This window comes from Homo sapiens, chromosome 4 (genome assembly GCF_000001405.40).
Source record: "Homo sapiens chromosome 4, GRCh38.p14 Primary Assembly".
NCBI lineage: Eukaryota > Metazoa > Chordata > Mammalia > Primates > Hominidae > Homo > Homo sapiens.
In genome coordinates, this window is record NC_000004.12 from 584957 (window position 1) to 607584 (window position 22628).

Sequence of the window (22628 nt, forward strand, 5' to 3'; positions counted from 1 at the left end):
CAGGTGTTCCAGACCAGCCTGGCCAACATGGGAAACCTGTCTCTACTAAAAATACAAAAATTAGCCAGGTGTGGTGGCATGCCCCTGTAATCCCAGCTACTTAGGAGGCTGAGACAGAAGAATCGCTTGAATCCGGGAGGTGGAGTTTGCAGTGAGCTGAGATTGCACCACTGCACTCCAGCCTGGGCAACAGACTGAGACTCCATCTCAAAAAAAAAAAAAAAAATCCCTTTTTATCTAAAGGATCTGTAGTGAAGTCCCCTCTTTCATTTCTGATATTGGTAATTTGTGGGGTTTTTTTGTTTTTGTTTTTGTTTTTGAGATGGAATCTCGCTCTGTCACCCAGGCTGGAGTGCAATGGTGCAATCTCAGCTCACTGCAACCTCCGCCTCCCGGGTTCAAGTGATTCTCCTGCCTCAGCCTCCCAAGTAGCTGGGACTACAGGTGCCCACCACCATGCCTGGCTAATTTTTGTATTTTTAGTAGAGACGGGGTTTCACCATGTTGGCCAGGATGATCTTGATCTCTTGACCTTGTGATCTGCCCGCCTCAACCTCCCAAAGTGTTGGGATTACAGGCGTGAGCCACAGGGCCCGGCCTCGTGTGTTCTCTTTTTTCTTAATTTGGTTAGAGATTTATCAGTGTTATTGATCATCTCAAAAAACTAGTTTTTGGTTTCATCATTATCTTCATATTTTGTTTTCTATTCATTGATTTCTGTACTCTTGCTTATTATTTCCTTTTTCTGCTTACTTTGGCTTTCGTTGCCTTTCTTTCTCTAGTTCTCATTTGAGACCTTTCTTTTTTTCTTATATAATTTTTAATGCTATAAATTTTGCTTTAAACATTTCCTTAATTATATTCCACAATTTTCCTTATGTTATGTTTTTATTATTATTCTGGTAAAAATATTTCCTAGTGATATTTGTGATTTCTTCTTTGACTCATTGGTGTTTAGAAGTGAGTTAACTTCTAGAGACATTTGGGGTCCTTTCTAGATTAGTTGTTGCAGATTCCTAATTTATGACTGTTGTGGTCTGGAAACACTCTGCAAGATATTGATCTTTTGAAATCTGTTGAGACAAGCACGTGGCCTGTCCTGACGAATGTTTCACATACAGTTGGAGAGAGTGTGCGTTCTGAAGTTGTTGCTGATTATTTTCTCTAAGTGTCAATTCAGTTTAGTTCGTAGTGTCATTTGAATCTCCTGTATACCTTTTTCTTTTTGTCTACTTGTTGTATTACTGAGAACAGCATGTTAAAATCTCCAGCTATTATTGTAGATTTTCTATTTTTCCCTTTGGTTTTACTAGTTTTTGTTCATATATTTTGGCATTCTGTTATCAGATGTGTATATGTTTGTAATTGTTGTCTCTTCCTATTGTATTGAGCAGGAACTATCCTTTTTGTCTTATAATACTCATTCTATTGAAGAATATTTTGTGTGCTATTAATACAGCTACTACAGGCCATGTGCAGTGTGGCTCGTGCCTGTAATCCCAGCCCTTTGAGAAGCCAAGGCAGGAGGATTGCTTGAGGCCAGGAGTTTGAGACCAGCCTGGGCAACACAGTGAGACTCCCATCTCTAAAAAAAAAAAACATGTTTAGGACATCAGCCAAGCATAATGACATATGCCTGTGGGTCCTACAGAGGAAGCCCAAGCAGGAGGCAGCTGAAGCAGGAGGATCTACATAGGAGGCTGAAGTGGATAGCTTGAATCTAAGAGTCGGAGGTTACAGTGAACTCTGATCACACCACTGCACTCCAGACTGAACAACAACAGAACAACGCCCTGTCTTAAAACACACATGCAGAGCCAGGCACAGTGGCTCATGCCTGTAATCCCAGCACTTTGGGAGGCTGAGGTGGGCAGATCACAAGGTCAGGAGTTTGAGACCATCCTGGCTAACACGGTGAAACCCCGTCTCTACTAAAAATAGAAAAATTAGCCGGACGTGGTGGCGGGTGTCTGTAATCTGAGCTACTCAGGAGGCTGAGGCAAGAGAATGGCGTGAACCCGGGAGGTGGAGCTTGCAGTGAGCTGAGATCATGCCATTGCACTCCAGCTGGGCGACAGAGCAAGACTCTGTCTAAAAAAAAAAAAAAAAGCACATGCACACTCACACGCACATTCAGCTATGATGGCTTTCTTATGCTAGCTGTTTGCGTGGTATATTATTTTCCATCCTTAAATTTTAATTTCCACCTCTTTCTGTCTCTTGAAGACAACATAAGGTTGGTTCTTGCTTTCTTAAGTCAGTCTGACCATTTGTGCCTTTTGCTTGGGATACTTCATTTATGTTTGATGCAATTATTTAAATGGTTATAGTTACATGATATTCTCTATCTGTCTCATCTGTGTTTTGTTCCTCAGTTTATTCTTTCTTGCCTTCTTATTCATTCATTAATGTTATATTTTCTTTGGACATATTTTTCTTCATTCATTGGTGGAAGTAAATTTCCATATCATTATTTTATCCATTAAGGCCAAGCTGCACTGTGTTTGTTCAAATTTACATTCCCACCTAGGTCCCTTTCTCAGTTACCTTTTTCAATCTTTTAACTTTTGTTTTTTTTTTTTAATTTTATGTTTCTCTATAGTTTTCTGGTTATATCCATTCTATCTCCTTCTATATATTCTTATTTTATAAGTGGTGGGCAACAAGCATGCCCACAGACATGACGCGAAGCAGAAAGCTGACCGTGAGAGTGACGAGAGGAGGCCTATCCCTGCTGCCTTGCCCTGGAGCTGCTCCTCTGGTAGCTTGAATCCATTTCTTTCACATCCAGTCTTCATCCCTCAGCAACCCAACTGGAGCCACTCAAGACCCATGAGCCAGATGGACGACCATCGTTATTCTGGGGCAGGCAGCAGCTTCCAAGAAGATGGCCTTGCAATTCCAGGTCACGACTGCGTGCTGCCTTCGGAGGAACGACTCACCACAAATCCAGATTCTGCTGTGCGTGGCCGTCAAATGTGAGGCCATCTGGGGACGTGTCACGGGGACTGGGGTGGACATAAGTCACCTTTCTAGCTACCTGTTGGATAACCTTTCTATATTTGATGACAAGTAGTACCTGACTTCCGGACCTGGAGTTTGAAGCTCAGTTTCCAGCTGCCCTGAAACATGCTTGGGAGACTGACTTGGAAGACAGAACGGCAAGGAAGCGGCGTCTCAGCGTCACTTCCCGCGGGGAGGGGCAGCGTTTGGCGTCTTCTGAGGCTGACTTCTCAGCAGAGGATCCCTGTGCCTGAGGCCGCGGTGCCCAGAGGTGCCAGGTGGGGCGGGGGATATGGTAACTGGGAAACATAGCCCCGAGCCCAGCTACTGCCCCTCTTAGCTAGGTGGCGAGGATTCAGTAGTTTGCAGGACTATGCCTGACACTGTGCCTGGGCGTGGTCTGGGCAGTCTCTTCACATCATCCGCGAAGGCATCTGGGCTTTTTCCTGTCTGTCAGCGGATGACTCCTTCCTCCGTCGTCCCTCCACGCGTGCGGCCATCTTTTCAGCAAAGGCATCTGGGCTTTTTCCCGTCGGTCAGCGGGTGAGTCCTTCCTCCGTTGTCCCTCCACGCGTGCGGCCATCTTTTCAGCAAAGGCATCTGGGCTTTTTCCCGTCGGTCAGCGGGTGACTCCTTCCTCCGTTGTCCCTCCATGCTGCGGCCATCTTTTCAGCAAAGGCATCTGGGCTTTTTCCTGTCGGTCAGCGGGTGACTCCTTCCTCCGTCGTCCCTCCATGCGTGCGGCCATCTTTTCAGGAAAGGCATCTGTGCTTTTTCCTGTTGGTCAGCGGGTGACTCCTTCCTCCGTCGTCCCACCATGCGTGCGGCCATCTTTTGTTGCGTGCCTACACTGTCGATGTCAGGCTGGGGACACACAGGACCGACCGAGCATGGTGAGATCTAGAATTTATGCCTCATTCAGTTAATGTTCTTTAGATATTTGTTCAACATTTATTTGGTAAGAAGTGGGTAAAAGTTTCCACTGATAAAGACCTTACACTTTCTCAGTAACCTATGTACCAGCTGTCCTTTCGCTCACATCTTTGAGCTTTTCTCCCTGTATTAGTCAGGGTTCTCTAGAGGGACAGAGCTCATAGGATAAATGTATATGAAGGGGAGTTTATTAGGAGACTTGACTCACACGATCACAGGTGAAGTCCCACAGTAGGCCGAATGCAAGCTGAGGAGCCAGGAAGCCAGTCCAAGTCCCCAAACCTCAAATGTAGGGAAGCTGACAACACAGCCGTGTCTGTGGCCAAAGGCCCAGGAGCCCCGGGCAAACCACTGGTGTTAAGTCCAAGAGTCCCAGAGCTGAAGAGCTTGGAGTCTGATGTTTGAGGGCAGGAAGCATCCAGCACGGGAGAAAGATGGAGGCTGAGGCCGTAAGACTCAGCCGGTCCAGTCCTTCCACGTTCCCCTGCCTGCTTTTATTCTGGCCGTGCTGGCAGCTGATTAGACGGTGCCCACCAGGATTGAGGGTGAGTCTGCCTTTCCCAGCCCACTGACTCAAATGTTAATCTCCGTTGGCAACGTCCTCACAGACACACCCAGGATCAATATTTTGCATCCTTCAATCCAATCAAGTTGACACTCAATATTAACCATCACACTCCCCAGCTCAAAAAAGCAGAGAAAGAACACAACTCGACTTTCTCAGGAGTGTTTGTGAGCAGAACTTGCTTAGGATTGCAGGGGTACGGTGGTTTCTAGGTCCACAGCACCTCCGGAGAAATTTCCATTATCTTTCCTCCTGCCACGCCTCCCTTCCAGCCTCAGGAAGACGGGCCTCCCACCTCTCAACCCCACTGTTCAGTCTTCCCAGCTCCTCCTTTCTGGATTTCCCTCAGGTCTCCTCCCGTCCCCTCCGTAATGCAGGGCAGCTCAGCTCTGTCCTCCCAGCTCCTGTCTTCAAGCTTGAGCAGCTCCCTCCAGCATCTCCAGGTCATCAGACACCACCTTAGAAAGTTGTGGGGATATTTTTAAAATGGATTTTTCTTTTGTAAGTTCAAGTTTAAGGGAGTCGGATTACTCGCTAGTTTTTCTATTTCTGCGTAACAAATTATCACCATTTTAGTAACTTAAAACAACACAAAGGCATTTTCTCCACTTTCTTCTTTTTCTTTTTTCTTTTTTTTTTGTTTTTGTTTGAGACGGCGTCTCACTCTGTCACCAGGCTGGAGTGCAGTGGCACCATCTCGGCTCACTGCAACCTCCACCTCCCAGGTTCAAGTGATTCTCCTGCCTCAGCCTCCCGAGTAGCTGGGATTACAGGCACCCACCACCATGCCCAGCTAATTTTTGTATTTCTGGTGGAGACAGGGTTTCACCATGTTGGCTAGGCTGGTGTCAAACTCCTGACCTCAGGTGATCCACCTGTCTCGGCCTCCCAGAGTGCTGGGATTCCAGGCATGAGCCACCATGCCCGGCCCTCTCTCCACTTTCTATGGGGTCAGTTGGGTCCTCTGCCCCTTGCACCTCCAGGCCAAAATTAAGGCGTCGCCCAGAGCTGTGATCTCATCTGAGGCACAAGGGTCTCTTCCAGGGTTGTTCTGGTTGTTGATTTGTCAACGATCAGTTGTAGGGCCGAGGCCCTCACCCCTTCCAGAAGTCACCACCCTTCCCAGGTGGCCCACATGGGCCAGTCTGCATCCTTCCACTCCTGCTTCTGCTCGCTCCTCTCAGGGCTCACCTGATGAGGTCAGGCCCACCAGAGGAGCCCAGGAGCCAGTGTGTGCTGGAGTCGACGTGCATTGGCTCCCGGAGTGGAAAGCTGCACTGCCAGGAGCTTTGCTGTTAGATACAGACATTGCTGAAAAGTAAATGATACGCACTTACAATGAAATAAAGCTTACTTAAAACATAGGTAATAAATACTCGAAGCCATTACTTTCTAATTATTTTACTACATTTTACATCGCCTGCATTCCTGAGATCACTGACATCAGCTGTATCTGTAGGGGTAAAAGCTGTAATGGGCTACCACGGTCTCTTCCTAGCACCATGCTCAGTGACTTTTTGTGTGTGGCTCCAAGTTGGCCATGAGGGGGGCATTTACACCACAGAAATTGGCAAATGCTACAAATGCGGCTGGGTTGTTGCTTTATTGACTGTCTAGATTTAATGAAGTTATGGGAAAATATGAGTAATGTAGATTAAATTTAAACGTGTGTTGTGGCTGTAACCATTACATTGTGAATACTACCAAAAATCAGGGAAATGTTCTTCCAGTATTAGAAAGTGACTCAGGAGAGGCACTCATGTCATTGATGAAGTGACGTTCCAATGTCTTTGTGATTTCAATTACCTTTTACTTATTAACATAAATGAAAGTATGAACCACGTTCAACTCAGAACTGCACTGTTCATTAATAATGTGAGGAAGCTCTCAGCTGGGTCAGATGATAATCAGGCATTTATACAAAGCCTGTTTTTGTGACACCATTATTGGTGATACAATTATAAAAATGGAGAGTGGCCCAGGTGCAGTGGCTCACGGCTGTAATCCCGGCACTTTGGGAGACTGAGGTGGGCAGATCACTGGAGGTCAGGAGTTTGAGAGCAGCCTGGCCAACATGGCGAAACCCCGTCTCTACTAAAACTACAAAAATTAGTCAGGTGTGGTGGTGTGCACCTGTAATCCCAGCTACTTGGGAGGCTGAGGCAGGAGAATTGCTTGAACCCCGGGGCCAGAGGTTGCAGTGAGCCAAGATCGTGCCACTGCACTCCAGCCTGGGTGACAGAGTGGGGCTCCGTCTCAAAACCAAACAAAAAACTGAGAGTGGATTTTGTAAGAAATAGCAAGTCACACTGGAGTGATAGGTACAAAACAAAAAACAGATAAGAATTTTAGCTTAAAATATATGTTTTTTGTTTTTTTTTTTTTTGAGACGGAGTCTCAGTTTGTCGCCCAGGCTGGAGTGCAGTGGCGCGATCTTGGCTCACTGCAACCTCTGGCCCGGGGTTCAAGCAATTCTCCTACCTCAGCCTCCCGAGTCGCTGGGACTACAGGCGCCTGCCACCATGCCCGGCTAATTTTTTGTATTTTTAGTAGAGACGGGGTTTCACTGTGTTAGCCAGGATGGTCTTGATCCTCTGACCTCGTGATCCGCCCGCCTCTGCCTCCCAAAGTGCTGGGATTACAGGCGTGAGCCACCATGCCCGCCCTGTTATTTCTAAAATTATATGAAGAAATTACTGATGGAAATTTTTATGTTAAACTCTCAAATAGTAGCATGTATTTTAATAACATAAAATTATTTTTCAAATTTTTATCCCTAACCCACCAAGAAAACAGAATAACTTATGTTTTTTAAGTGTGACGATGGTAAAAACAGACAGAGAAAAGAATCCTGGAGGTGGGGGGGTCAGCCCCCCGCCCAGCCAGCCGCCCCGTCCGGGAGGTGAGGGGTGCCTCTGCCCGGCCGCCCCTGCTGGGAAGTGAGGAGCCCCTCTACCCGGCCACCACCCTGTCTGGGAAGTGTGCCCAGCGGCTCATTGAGAACGGGCCATGATGACAGTGGCGGTTTTGTGGAATAGAAAAGGGGGAAAGGTGGGGAAAAGATTGAGAAATCGGATGGTTGCCGTGTCTGTGTAGAAAGAGGTAGACATGGGAGACTTTTCATTTTGTTCTGTACTAAGAAAAATTCTTCTGCCTTGGGATCCTGTTGATCTGTGACCTTGCCCCCAACCCTGTGCTCTCTGAAACAAGTGCTGTGTCCACTCAGGGTTAAATGGATTAAGGGCAGTGCAAGATGTGCTTTGTTAAACAGATGCTTGAAGGCAGCATGCTCGTTAAGAGTCATCACCACTCCCTAATCTCAAGTACCCAGGGACACAAACACTGCAGAAGGCCGCAGGGTCCTCTGCCTAGGGAAGCCAGAGACCTTTGTTCACTTGTTTATCTGCTGACCTTCCCCCCACTATTGTCCTATGACCCTGCCAAATCCCCCTCTGCGAGAAACACCCAAGAATGATCAATAAAAAAAAAGAAAAAAGAAAAGAATCCTGGTGCCCTTCACTCATGCACTTGCTTATTGACTTGTTACTGTCAGGCAGCCAGGGGTTGCTCTAGGCCTTGGGGTACAGCAGTTTGCAAAATGACAGGGCTCCTGCTCACTGGAGGAGCGTGGCGGGAGAGATGGAGATGAATCACATCTTCACAAAAATACACAGTTGCAGACTGTTAAGTCCAGCTGCTGAAACATACAGGAGCACATGGCAGGGGATGCTGTTGCATGGGGGCTGGGTGGCGTCCCCTTCGCACATGTGTCCCTAAGCCTCAGCCCTTGATTCTGTCCCTTCTGTCTACACTCACTCCCTTGGTGACCTCATCTAGTTTCTTTCTTTCTTTCCTTCTTTCTTTCTTCCTTCCTTTCTTTCTTTTTCTTTCCTTCCTTCCTTCTTTCTTCCTTCCTTCCTTCCTTCCTTCCTTCCTTCCTTTCCTCTTTCTTTCTTTCATTCTTTCAACATTTGAAGGTTATTTTTTTTTCTTTAGCTTTTAAGTTCAAGGGTACCTGTGCAGGATGTGCAGGTTTGTTTCATGGGTAAATGTGTGCCATGGTGGCTTGCTACACAAACCATCCCATCCCCTAGGTAAGAAGCCCGGCATCCATTAGCTATTCCTCCTGATGCTCTCCCTCGCCCTACCTGCCACCACCCTCCAACAGGCCCCAGTGTGTATTGTTGCCCCCCACCCCGTGTCCATGCATTTTCATCATTCAGCTCCCACTTGTAAGTGAGAATACGTGGTATTTGGTTTTCTGTTCCTACATTAGTTTGCTGAGGATAATGGCTTCCAACTCCATCCAGGTCCCTGCAAAAGGACATGATCTCATTCCTTTTGATGGCTGCATAATATTCCATAGTATAAATGTACCACATTTTCTTTATCCAGTCTATCGTCAGTGGTCATTTAGGTTGATTTCATGTCTTTGCTATTGTGAATAGTGCTGCAATGAACATATGTGTGTATGTATCTTTATAATAGAATGATTTATATTCTTTCTTTTTTTTTTTTGAGACGGAGTCTCACTCTGTCACCAGGCTGGAGTGCAGTGGCACGATCTCTGCTCACTGCAACCTCCACCTCCTGGGTTGAAGCAATTCTCCTGGCTTAGCCTCCTGAGTAGCAGGGACTACAGGTGCTTGCCACCGTGCCCAGCTAATTTTTGTATTTTTAGGAGAGACAGGGTTTCACCATGTTGTCCAGGATGGTCTTGATCTCTTGACCTTGTGATCCACCCACTTCAGCCTCTCGAAGTGCTGGGATTACAGGCGCGAGCCACCGCGCCCGGCCAGAGTGATTTATATTCTTTTGAGTATACACCCATTAATGGGGTTGCTGGGTCGAATGGTATTTCTGCCTCTACGTCTTTGTGGAATTGCCACACTGTCTTCCACAATGGTTAAACTAATTTACACTCCCACCAACAGTGTAAAAGCATTCCTTTTTCTCCTCAATCTTGCCAGCATCTCTTGTTTTTTGACTTTTTAATAACAGTCAGACTGGTGTGAGATGGTATCTCACTGTGGTTTTGATTTGCATTTCTCTAGTGATCAGTCATGTTCAGCTTTTTTTCATAGGTTTATTGGCCACATGTGTGTCTTCTTTTGAAAAGTGTCTGTTCATGTTATTTGCCCACTTTTTAATGGAGTTGTTTTTTTCTCATAAATTTAAGTTCCTTGTAGACTCTGGATATTAGATCTTTGTCAGTTGGATAGATTGCAAAAATTGTCTCCCATTCTGTAAGTTGTCTGTTCACTCTGATGCTAGTTTCTTTTGCTGTGCAGAAGCTCTTTAGTTTAATTTGATCCCATTTGTCAATTTTTCCTTTTGCTGCTATTGCTGTTGGCATTTTGGTCATAAAATCTTTGCCCGTGACTATGTCCTGAATGGTATTGCCTGAATTTTCTTCTAGGGTTTTTATAGTTTTGGGTTTTATAATACATTTAAGTCTTTAATCCATCTTGAGTTAATTTTTGTATAAGGTATAAAGAAGGGGTCCAGTTTCAATTTTCTGCATATGGCTAGCCAACTCTCCTAGTACAATTTATTAAATAGGGAATCCTCTCCCCATCGCTTGTTTTTGTCAGGTTTGTCAAAGATCAAATGGTTGTAGATGTGTGGTCTTATTTCTGAGTTTTCTATTCTGTTCCATTGGTCTGTGTGTCTGTTCTTCTACCAGTATCATGCTGTTTTGGTTACTGTAGCCTTGTAGTATAGTTTGAAGTTGGGTAGCATGATGCCTCCAGCTTTGTTCTTTTTGCTTAGGATTGTCTTGGCTATTTGGGTTCTTTTTTGGTTCCATGTGAACTTTAAAATAGTTTTTTTTTTTTTTCTAATTTTGTGAAGAATGTCCATGGTGGTTAGATGGGAATAGCATTGGATCTATAAATTACTTTGGGCAGTATGGCCATTTTCATGATATTGATTCTTCCTATCCATGAGCATGGAATGTTTTTCCATTTATTTGTGTCATCTCTGATTTCTTTGAGCAGTGGCTTGTAGCTCTCCTTGAAGAGGTCCTTCACTTCCCTTGTTAGCTGTATTTTTTTTGTGGCAGTTGTGAATGGGAGTTCATTCATGATTTGGTTCTCTGCTTGCCTGTTGTTGGTATATAGGAATGCTAGAGATTTTTGCACATTGATTTTGTATCCTGAGACTTTGCTGAAGTTGTTTATCAGTTTAAGAGGGTTTGGGGCTGAGACAATAGGTTTTTCTAGATATAGAATTATGTCATATGCAAACAAAGATAATTTGACTTCCTTTCTTCCTGTTTGAATACGCTTTATTTCTTTTTCTTGCCTGATTGCCCTGGTCAGAACTTCCAGTACTATGTTGATATTGAACAGGAGCGGTGAGAGAGGACATACTTGTCTTGTGCTGTTTTTCAAGGGGAATGCTTCCTGCTTTTGCGCATTCAGTGTGATATTGGCTGTGAGTTTGTCATATATGGCTTTTATTATTCTGAAGTATGTTCCTTCAATACCTAGTTTATTGAGAGTTTTTAACATGAAGGGATGTTGAATTTTATCATGGCCTTTTCTGCATCTATTGAGATAAATACGTGGTTTTTGTCTTTGGTTCTGTTTATGTGATGAATCAGTTATTGATTTGTGTATGTTGACCCAGCCTTGCATCTCTGAGGTGAAGCCAACTTGATTTTGGTGGATAAGCCTTTTGATGTGCTGCTGGATTTGTTTGCCAGTATTTTATTGAGGATTTTTGCATCAATGTTTGTGAAGGATATTGGCCTCAAGTTTTCTTTTTTTCTTGTATCTCTGCCAGGTTTGGGTATCAGGATGATGCTGGCCTCACATAATGAGTTAGGAAGGAGTCCCTCCTTTTCAATTTTTTTTGAATAGATTCAGTAGAATAGTACCAGCTCTTCTTTGAACCTCTGGTAGAATTCAGTTGTGAATCTGGTCCTGGGCCTTTTTTGCTTGGTAGGCTGTTTATTATTGCCTCAATTTTAGAACTCGTTATTGGTCTATGTAGGGATTCAATTTCTTCCTGGTTCAGTCTTGGGAGGGTATACGTGTCCAGGAATGTATCCATTTCTTCTAGATTTTCTAGTTTATGTGCATAGAGGTATTTCTAGTATTATTTGATAGGTGTTTGTATTTCTGTGGGGTCAGTGGTGATATCCTCATTATTTCTGATTGTGTTTATTTGATTCTTCTCTCTTCTCTTCTTTATTAGTCTAGCTAGTGGTCTATCTATTATATTAATTTTTTCAAAAAACCAGCTCCTGGATTCGTTGATTTTCTTGAAGGGTTTTGGGCATCTCTATCTTCTTCAGTTCAGCTCTGATCTTGGTTATTTCTTGTCTTCTGCTAGCTTTGGGTGGGGCTTGTTTGCTCTTGGTTCTCTAGTTCTTTTAGTTGAGATGTTAGGTTGTTAACTTGAGATTTTTCTAGCTTTTCAGTGTGGGCATTTAGTGCTATAAATTTCCCTAACACTATTTTAGCTGTGTCTCAGAGATTCTGGTACATTGTCTCTTGTTCTCACTAGTTTCAAAGAACTTCTTGATTTCTGCCTTAATTTCATTATTAAGAGTCATTCAGGAGCAGGTTGTTCAGTTTCCATGTAGTTCAGTGGTTTTGAGTGAATTTCTTAATCTTGAGTTCTAATTTGATTGCACTGTGGTCTGAGAGACTATTATGATTTCAGTTCTTTTCCATCTGATGAGTTGTGTTTTGCTTCCAATTATGTGATCAATTTTAAAGTAAGTGCCATGTGGCAATGAGACGAATGTGTATTCTGTTATTTTGGGGTGGATAATTCTGTAGGTATCTATCAGATCCACTTGATCCAGAGCTGAGTTTAGGTCCTGAATATCTTTGTTAATTTTCTGTCAATGATCTGTCTAATATTGTCAGTGGGGTGTTAAAGTCTTCCACTATTATTGTGTGAGAATCTAAGGCTCTTTGTAGATCTCTAAGAACTTCCTTTATGAATCTAGGTGCTCCTGTATTTGATGCATATATATTTAGGATAGTTAGTTCTTGTTGAAATGAACCCTTTACCATTGTGTAATGCCCTTCTTTGTCTTTTTTGCTTTTTGTTGGTTTAAAGTCTGTTTTGTCGAAAACTAGGACTGCAACCTCTGTTTTTTTCTGTTTTCCATTTGCTTGGTAAATTTTTATCCATCCTTTTATTTTGAGCCTACATGTATCTTTGCATGTGAGGTGGGTCTCTTTATTTTATTATTATTATTTATTTTTTTTTTTTAGATGGAGTCTCACTCCGTCACCCAGGCTGGAGTGCAGTGGCATGATCTCAGCTCACTGCAAGCTCTGCTTCCCGGTTCATGCCATTCTCCTGCCTTAGCCTCCTGAGTAGCTGGGACTACAGGCACCTGCCACCACGCCCGGCTAATTTTTTGTATTTTTTTCTGATGGGTCTTGGCTCTTTGTCCAGCTTGCTACTCTGTGTCTTTTAATTGGGGCATTTAGCCCATTTACATTTAAGGTTAATATTGTTTTGTGTGGATTTGATCCTGTCATCATGATGCTAGATGGTTATTTTGCAGACTTGCTTATGTGGTTGCCTCATAGTGTCACTGGTCTGTGTATTTCAGTGTGTCTTTATAGTGGCTGGTAACAGTTTTTCCTTTCCACATTTAGTGCTTCCTTCAGGAGCTCTTGCAAGGTAGGCCTGGTGGTGACGAATTCTCTCAGCATTTGCTCGTCTGAAAAAGATCTTATTTCTCCTTTGCTTATGACACTGGGTTTGGCTGGATATGAAATTCTGGGTTGGAAATTCTTTTCTTTAAGAATGTTGAATATTGGCCCCCAATCTCTTCTGGCTTGTAGGGTTTCCAGTGAGAGGCCCACTGTTAGTCTGATGAGTTTCCCTCTGTAGGTGGCCTGGCCTTTCTCTCTGGCTGCTCTTAACACTTTTTCTTTCATTTCAACCTCGGAGAATCTGATGATTATTTGTCTTGGGGTTGATCTTCTCATACAGTATCTTACTGGGGTTCTCTGCATTTCCTGAATTTGAATGTTGGCCTGTCTTGCCAGGTTGGGGAAGTTCTCCTGGATGATATCCTAAAGTATGTTTTCCAATTTGGTTCCATTCTCTCCATTTCTTTCAGGTACCCCACTCAGCTGTAGGTTTGGTCTCTTTACATAATCCCGCATTTCCCAGAGGTTTTTTTCATTGCTTTTCATTCTTGTTTTTTTCTGTTCTTGTCTGCCTATCTTACTTCAGAAATATAGTCTTCAGGCTCTAAGATTCTTTCTTCTACCTGGCCTATTCTGCTATGGGTACCCGTGGTTGCATTGAGAAGTTCTCAGGTTGTTTTCAGCTCCATCAGGTCAGTTGTGTTTCTCTCTAAACCGGGTATTCTGGCTGTCAGCTCCTGTACTGTCTTATCGTGATTCTTAGCTTCTTTGCGTTGGGTTACAAACGCTCCTTTAGCTCAGCGAAGTTTGTTATTACCCACCTTCTGAAGCCTGCTTCTGTCAGTTCAGCCATCTCAGCCTTAGCCCAGTTCTGTACCCTTGCTGTAGAGGTGTTGCAGTCATTTGGAGGAGAAGAGGCACGCTGAGTTTTCAGCATTTTTGCATTGATTTTTCCTCATCTTTGTGGGCTTATCTACCTTCAATCTTTGAGGTTGCTAACCTTTGAATGGGGTTTTTGTGGGGACTTTTTTGCTGACGTTGTTGTTATTTTGTTTGTTTTCTTGTAACAGTCAGGCCACTCTACCATAAGATGGCTGCAGTTTGCTGGGGTCCACTCCAGACCCTAGTTGCCTTGGTTTTTCCCATACCTGGAGGTATCTGAGAAACAGCAAAGATGACAGCCACCTCCTTCCTCTGGAAGCTCTGTCCTCGGGGGGTACTGACCTGTTGCCAGCCTGAACACACGTGCAGGAGGTGGCTGTAGACACCTGTTGGGGGATCTCAGCTAGTCAGGAGAAATGGGATCAGGGACCTGCTTAAAGAAGCAGTCCTGGCTGGGCGCAGTGGCTCACGCCTGTAATCCCAGCAGTTTGGGAGGCCGAGGCTGGCGGATCACGAGGTCAGGAGATCGAGACCATCCTGGCTAACACAGTGAAACCTCGCCTCTACTAAAAATACAAAAATTTAGCCAGGTGTGGTGGCGGGTGCCTGTAGTCCCAGCTACTCGGGAGGCTGAGGCAGGAGAATGGTGTGAACCCGGGAGGCGGAGCTTGCAGTGAGCCGAGATCGCGCCACGTCACCTCCAGCCTGGGCGACAGAACAAGACTCCATCTCAAAAAAAAAGAAGCAGTCCTGCTGCTTTTTCATAGAGCAGGTGCGCTGCGTTTTGTTGCGGGGGGGAGGGGGTGGTCCTTCCTCATCCAGACCATTTGTATTCTCCAAAGCTGGCAGGCTGGAATGACTAAGTCAACCAAACTGCAGAGATGGTGGCTGCCCCTCCCCACAGGAGCTCCATCCCAAGGAGAGATCAGAGCTCTATCCATAGAACCCTGGCTGGAGTGGCTGAAGCCCCTGCAGGGAGGACCCACGCAGTGAGGGGAAGCGGATGGGATCACAATTAAAGAAGCACTTTGGCCACGATCTGGCAAGGCAGCTGTGCTGCCTGTGGGGGACCCCTTCTCATCTGGACCATTCGTATTCTCCAAAGTCTGCAGGCTGGAACGGCTGAGTCTACCCAATTGCAGAGATGGCAGCCACCCCTGCCCTGGGAACTCGGACCCTTCTCAGGCAGAGTCCAGCCTGTTGCTGTTGGCTGGCTGGGATTCCAAGCCAGTGGGTCTTAACTTGTGATGTGCCATGGAAGTGAGGACTGCGGAATGATTCTGCTTGGCTCCGTGGAGTCAGCCCTCTTCCCAGGAATCTGGAAGGATGGATTTCCCACCTTGCCAGGGATCCTGGGGCCGGAGTATGTAAAACGCCTGGGTCTCTGTGTGTGGCTGAGTGGCTGCTCTGCTGAAAGTTCCACAAAGCTCTGTGTATCGGGCCCAAGGCACTGGTGGTGGGGCCTCATCAAGGGATCTCCTGATCCACAGTTGCAAAGATCCATGGGAGAAGCATGATTTCCCAGCAGGGTCCACAATCACTCACCACTTCCTTGGCTGGCAGTGGAGGTTCCTTTGGCTCCGTGCCACTGCTGAGTGGGCCATTGACCCTCCTACCACTTCTTTTCATTCTCCATGGGTCGAGTTGTTTGCCTAGTTAGTCCCAATATGAGAACCTGGATATTTCAGTCGAAGGTGCTGAATTCACTCACCCCTTTTCATTCTTCTCTGTAAGCGCCTCAGACCGCAGCTGTTTCTAATCAGCCGTCTTGGATTCACCTGAAGGTTATTTTAAAGTCATCTAGTTTCATGGCTTTAAGAAACACCTGTATTTTGGCTACTCCCAAATTCATATTTCAGCTCAGATCTTTCCCTGGGCCTCCAGATAAGACAGAGCTGCGTGTCCAACATCTCCCTCAGGGTATCCAACAGGCACCCACCCATAACATGGAAACTCAAGTGTCTGTTCTGCTCACACAGATCAGACCCACCCTGTTGTCCCCTGTTTGGGGACTGGAAACCCCAACTTTGCTCTGGCCAGAAATCTCGGGGACATCCTCTATGCCCCTCACCCACAGCCAGGCAGCAAATTCTGTGGCCTCCAACCTCGACGTGCATTGGAGCCTGACGGACCCCTGCATTTCTGACCTGGGTGCTGAAGGAGCCACCCCTCATCTTCAGTCTATTCCAAAGGAGCAGCCACAATTAGCCTTCAAAATTTTAAGTCAAGTACATCATCCTGTGCTCAAAATGGCTTTGGGCTCATTCGGAGTAAAAGCTGAAGTCACTAAAAGAGACTGAGTCACTGTGTGAGCTTGTCTCTTTCCACCCCCAGTCCTGCGTCAGCCTCCGCCTCTGACAGCCACAGGGCTGCCCCTCCCCCTCTTCATGTCTTTACCCAAACATCGCGCAGGGAGGCCTTCTCTGACTCAAAGTGCACCCCCAGGGCCCCCAGTCTCTTTTCTCAGCTCTATTTTTCCCATAAAGGAATCACTCTTGTGTTGTAGAAGTCACTTGTGTGCGATGTTTATCCTTCCCATAAGCTCTGGAAGACAGTTTTGTCTCTTTTGTTCACTGATGATTCCAGGAGGAAGAACAGTGTCTAGCACAAGGCAGGTGCTCCATGAGTATTTGTGGAATGAACTAAACAGTTTAAGTAATTAGAATCCATGAATGGAACCCTTAAGCTATTTGCTAGGATGGGCTGTGGTGAAACACCCTTCATTACCCAAATCCTCAGCACACCTGCTACTCACCAGTGTCGCTGACGGGAGTGAGGGGCAGGGCCTGGTGTCCAGGCCGGGGGTGCTGGATTTTGTTCTGCTCACACAGATCAGACCCACCCTGTTTCCCCCTGTTTGGGGACTGGAAACCCCAACCTTGCCCTGGCCAGAAACCTCAGGGACATCTTCTGTGTACTGGGAGACTCCCAGAAAGTACTGGGAGACTGCTAGGATGTCTTGATCAGGAAAATGACGGGACCAGGTCGGTCGTTTCAGAAAAATCTCACTGGCCACAGCATGGAAGAAGGATGGGGTGGACAAGGCTGAGGCTTGGGCCATTCTTGCCCCTTGGTCTCCACACGCGCCTCTGCCTTGCTTCTGCTGAGACCTGGGCACTGGCAGCCGCCCTGCTGGGCGGATCAAGGCAGCGAAAGCATTTGTTCTCCAAAATGCTGATGGGAGATGGCTTGCCCCAGCCACCTTGGTTGTGAAAGAGGAATTTCAAAAGCAGTTGCCGAGGATCCCACTAGGCTTCAAGAACACGTGGCCTCTCTCAAATTCAAGGCGCCAAAGTGGGGGCAGACTGAAGGGACGTGAGGGAGCCCCACAGGACAGACGGGGGCAAGCGGCCCGGCCACTGGGGCTGCCTCTGCCCAGTCACCTCCCTCCTCCGGCCTTCGTTCTGCTCCTTTCTACCCAAGGTCGGCCACTCCCCTGCCCTATAAAAACCCACCCATGTCCCCGTCAAGGGCAGCAGGCACCCCAGGCTGCTAAGACGTGCACTCTGAGCGCCTTCCCAGCCCAGGGACTGTCCCCAAGGTCCAGCTGCCCAGGGGCCCTGAGCAGCCACTCCCACTTCTTGTCATCACAACCGCTTAAGGACCTGCAGATGAGGGCATCCTATCCCACCCCAGCCCTGGGGGCCATGTTCAGGCCAGGAGAAGCCACCAAACACTGCCACCATCTTCCTGGCTCCAGAGGCTCTGTGCCAACACCAGGCCCCCTTGGGCCCACCTAGCCCACAGACCTTGGAGGCAGGTGCACGAGCAGGTGCATCCATCCCATGGACTCTGATGGGCTGTCAGGAAGGACGCAGGTAGAGCCCAGGTCCTGCCCAGCAGGTGCAGTTCCAAGGCTGCCTCTGGGTGGCGTGCTTGGACCAGTCAGGTGCCCTGTGTTCACCTAACACCGCAGAACCGGCTTCCAGCTGCCAGGGCGATGCAAGCCTGTAGAAGCACAGATGCGGTCATTCCTCAGCCCTACCCAGGCCTTGAGAGTGGAGGGTCAGGGGCCTCTGCACAAAGGCTTTGATCCCCCAAATACACACAGACCCCCACTTTCCTTGTTAGTTTTCTAACACTTCCATAGCAAGCTACCACAGACTAGGTAGCTTCAGCAGCAGAAATGTGTCCTCTGACCATTCTGAAGGCTGAGAGTCTGGGATGAAGACGTTGACGGGTGTGGTCTCCGCAGAAGTCTCTCTCCTTGGTCTGCAGACAGCTGCTCTCTTGCTGCCTCTTCACATGGTCTTCCCTCCACGCGGGCTCACCCAGGGGACTCTGTGTGACCTGGTCTCCTCGTCTTATAGGAATGCCAGCCATGTTGAATTAGAGCCCCACATTCATGCCTCATTTCTACTTAATCACCTCTTTATTTTTAAAATTTATTTATTTATTTATTTTATTTTTTTTGAGACTGAGTCTCATTCTGTTGCCCAGGCTGCAGTGCAGTGGCATGATCTCAGCTCACTGCAACCTCCACCTTCCGGGTTCAAGCGATTCTTCTGCCTCAGCCTCCCGAGTAGCTGGGATTACAGGTGCACGCTATCACGCCCAACTGATTTTTTGTATTTTAGTAGAGACAGGGTTTCACCATGTTGGCTGGTCTTGAACTCCTGAGCTCAGGCAATCCGCCTGCCTCGGCCTCCCAAAGTGCTGGGATTACAGGCGCGAGCCACCGTACCCGGCCTCCCAAAGTGCTGCGATTACAGGTGCGGGCCACCGTACCCGGCCTAAATTACCTCTTTAAAGGTCTTACCTTCAAATAACGATCACGTCATGAGGTACTGGGGGCTGGGATTTCAACATATGAATTTTGTGGGACACAATTTCAATCCATAACACTGACGTAAGGTTCTTGCACTGTATGTGAAGTGGTATAATATGTAAATGTGACAATTCGTAGAGAAAGAAATGTCTTTTCAACCAGTGATGCTGGAACTATTGAATATGCATGTGCAAAAAGAAAAAGAGAGCCTCGATCTATACCCGGACCACATATAAAAATAACTCAAAATGTACTGCAGACGTAAATGTCACACCTAAGACTACACAGTTGCTAGAAGTAAACCTAAGCGAACATTTCTGTGATCTTGAGTGGACAAAGATTTTTTAGCTGTGATTTCAAAAGCATCATCTATAAAAACAATAAACCAGCCTTCATCAGCATTAAAAGCATCTGCTCTTGGGAAGACACTGTTAACAGAATAAAAAGGCAATTCATAGACTGGAAGAAAGTATTTTAAAATCACATATCTGATAAAGGATTTATGTCTGGAATATATAAAGAACAAAATGCATTACAGCACCCCCCACCACACGCTTGTCTGTGGTTCCACTTTGTGTGGTTTCAGTTACCAGCAGTAAACTGTGGTCGGAAAATATTACATGCAACAAGATATTTTGAGAGAGAGAGACAGAGCCCACATTCACGTAACTTTTATTACAGTTTACTGTTATAATTGTTCTATTTTATTATTATTTTTAGTCTCTTATTTTGCCTAGTTTGTACATTAAACTTTATCATAGGTATATATTTATAGGAAAAAATGTAGTATGTATAAAGTTCAGAGTTCAGTACTATCCATGGTTTCAAGCATTCATTGGGGGGTCTTGGAATGTATACCCAGCAGATAAGGAGAAACTGCTGTCATAAGTAAACAAACAATCCAATTTGTTTTGAGGTTTGGGTTTTTTTGTTTAGAGACAGGGTATCATTCTCTTGCCAAGGCTGGAGTGCAGTGACACCACCATAGCCCAGTGAAGCCGTAACATTCCAGGCTCAAGCAATTCACCCACTTCTGCTTCCCAAGTAGCTGGAACTACAGGTGTACACCATCGCACCCAGCTAATTTTTTTTTTTTTTTGCAGAGATGGGGTCTCACTATGTTGCCCAAGCTGGTCTCAAACTCCTGGGTTCAAATGATCCACCCTCCTTGGCCTCCCAAAGTGCTGGGATTACAGGCATGAACCACCATGTGCAGCCACAACCCAATTTTAAATAAGGACATAGATTTTAAAGGATGTGGGCCACTTTGTTTTATTGTGTTCACCTTTTTTTTTTTTTTTTTTTTTTTTTGAGACGGAGTCTCGCTCTGTCGCCCAGGCTGGAGTGCAGTGGCGCTATCTCAGCTCACTGCAAGCTCCGCCTCCCGGGTTCACGCCATTCTTCTGCCTCAGCCTCCCGAGTAGCTGGGACTACAGGCACCCGCCACCACGCCCGCCTAATTTTTTGTACTTTTAGTAGAGACGGGGTTTCACCGTGTTAGCCAGGGTGGTCTCAATCTCCTGACCTCGTGAGCTGCCCGTCTCGGCCTCCCAAAGTGCTGGGATTACAGGTGTGAGCCACCGCACCCGGCCTATTGTGTTCACTTTCCTGCACTTTGCAGATACCGCATGTTTGACTGTTGAAGGTCTGTGGCCGCCCCGCGTTGAGCAAGCCCACCTGTGCCGTGTTTCCAACGGCGTGTGCTCGCTCACATCTCTCAGTCACACGTTAGTAATTTTGCAATGTGTTGAACTTTATTATGATTGTATCTTTTGTGGTGGTCTGTGGTTGGTGATCTTTGGAGTTACTTGGTCATCGTTTTAGGGCTCCATGAACCACGCATATAAGAAAGTGAACTTAATTGATAAGTGCTGTGTGTGTTCTGACTGCTCCATGGACCAGCCATTCCTCCCTCTCTCCCTTTCCTTGGGCCTCGCTATTCCCTGAGAAACAGCAATTTGAAATTAGGCCAACCAATAACCCTACAGTGACCTCTAAGTCCTCAAGTGAATGGTCAATCACAAGCTAGACATGATTAGACTCAGTGAGAAAGGCATGTTGAAAGCCGAGACAGGTGGAAATCTAGGCTCGTGCACCAAGCACTGAGTCAACCTGTGAATGCAAAAAAGAAGTTCTTGAAGGAGATTAAAAGTGCTACCCCGTGGAACACGTGAATAAGGAAGCGAAACAGCCAAATCACTGAGAGGGAGAAAGTTTTAATGGCCTAGATGGAATGATCAAACCACCCACAACATTCCCTTAAGCCAGGGGTCCCCAACCCCCAGGCCACACAGCAGGAGGTGAGTGGCAGGAGAGTCAGATCAGCAGCAGCATTAGATTCTCAGAACCGTGCAAACCCTACTGTGAACTGCGCGTGCGAGGGATCGAGGTTGCGCACTCCTTGTGAGGATCTAACTATCGCCTGATGATCTGAGGTGGAACAGCTTCATCCCAAACCTTCCCCCCGACGCCTAGTCTGTGGAAAAATTGTCTTCCACAAAACCGGCCCTTGGTGCCAAGAAGGCTGGAGCCAAAGCCTTAAGCCAAAGCCTAATCCAGAGCAAGGCCCCGACTCTTAAATCCTGTGGAGGCTGAGAGAGGTGAGGAAGCTGCAGAAGAAAAAGTCTGAAGCAAACAGAGATGGGTTTGTGAGGTTTAAGGAAAGAAATCATCTCCATAACGTGAAAGTTCAAGGGAGGCAGCAGGTACTGATGGAGAAGCTGCAGTAAGTTACCCGGAACATCCAGCTGAGATCATGGATGAAGGTGGCCACGCTACACAGACCTTTTATGTAGACAACATAGTTTTCTGTTGGAAGAAGATGCCATCTGAGACTTTTATAGCTGGAGAGAAGCCAGTGCCTGGCGTCGAAGCTTCATAGGACAGGCTGAGCCTCTTGTGAGGGGCTAATGCAGCTGGTGGCCTCAGATTGAAGCCAGTGTTCATTCACCATTCAGAAAATCCTAGAGCCCTTAAGAATTATACCACATGCACTCTGCCTGCTCTAGAAATGGAGCAACAAGGCCTGGATGGCAGCACATGTGCTCCCGATGGTTTACGGAATCCATTAAGCCCACTATTGAGAGCTACTGCTCGGGAAAAACAAGATTCTTTTCATAATATTACTATGAGTCTGGGCATGATGGTTCACGCTTGTAATCCCAGAACTTTGGGAAACTGAGGCAGGAGGATCACTTGAGCCTAGGAATTTGAGACCAGCCTGAGCAACATAAGGAGACCCTATCTTTATAAAAAATTTTAAAATTAGCCAGGTATGGTAGCTTATGCCTGTGGGCTCAGCTACTCAGGAGGCTGAGGTGGGAGGATCACTTGAGCCAGGGAGGTCAAAGCTGCAGTCAGCCAGGATCACACCACTGCACTCCAGCCTTGGTGACAGTGACACCCTGTCTGAAAATACATACGTATATTCGTTGACAATGCACCTAGTTCCCAGAGCTCTAACAGAGACATACACAGAGTCATGCTGCTTTCGTGGCTGCTAAAACAACATCCATTCTGCAGCCCTTGGATCAAGGAGTTGTGTCGACTTCCAAGTCTTACTATTTAAGAAACACATTTCTGGCCGGGCATGATGGCTTACGCCTGTAATCCTAGCACTTTGGAAGTCCAAGGCGGGTGGATCACCTGAGGTCAGGAGTTCAAGACCAGCCTGACCAACATGGTGTGAAACCCTGTCTCTACTAAAAATACAAAAATTAGCCAAGCATGGTGGCAGGTGCCTGTGATCCCAGCTACTCAAGAGGCTGAGGCAGGAGAATCACTTGAACCCGGAAGGCAGAGGTTTCAGTGAGCACCACTGCACTCCAACCTGGGCGACAGAGCAAGA

At 46.4% G+C, this 22628-nt stretch overlaps 1 long non-coding RNA gene across 1 annotated transcript in view, besides 1 other annotated feature; it reads left to right on the forward strand.

The window, feature by feature from the left end:
* Positions 3152-4351: an enhancer, noted in NCBI's record as "BRD4-independent group 4 enhancer chr4:581897-583096 (GRCh37/hg19 assembly coordinates)". NCBI's record gives its function as "activates an origin of replication core promoter dependent on BRD2, P300/CBP, MED14 and CDK7 cofactors, and independent of BRD4, by STARR-seq in HCT116 cells {active_cell/tissue: HCT116}" and the evidence as "EXISTENCE:reporter gene assay evidence [ECO:0000049][PMID:35650434]".
* Positions 3828-22628, forward strand: part of LOC124900162 (uncharacterized) — a 29315-nt gene continuing 10514 nt past the window's right edge. Inside the window, exon 1 of the long non-coding RNA XR_007057986.1 lies at positions 3828-3896. This is a non-coding gene — a long non-coding RNA (uncharacterized LOC124900162). The remainder of the gene's footprint in view (positions 3897-22628) is intronic.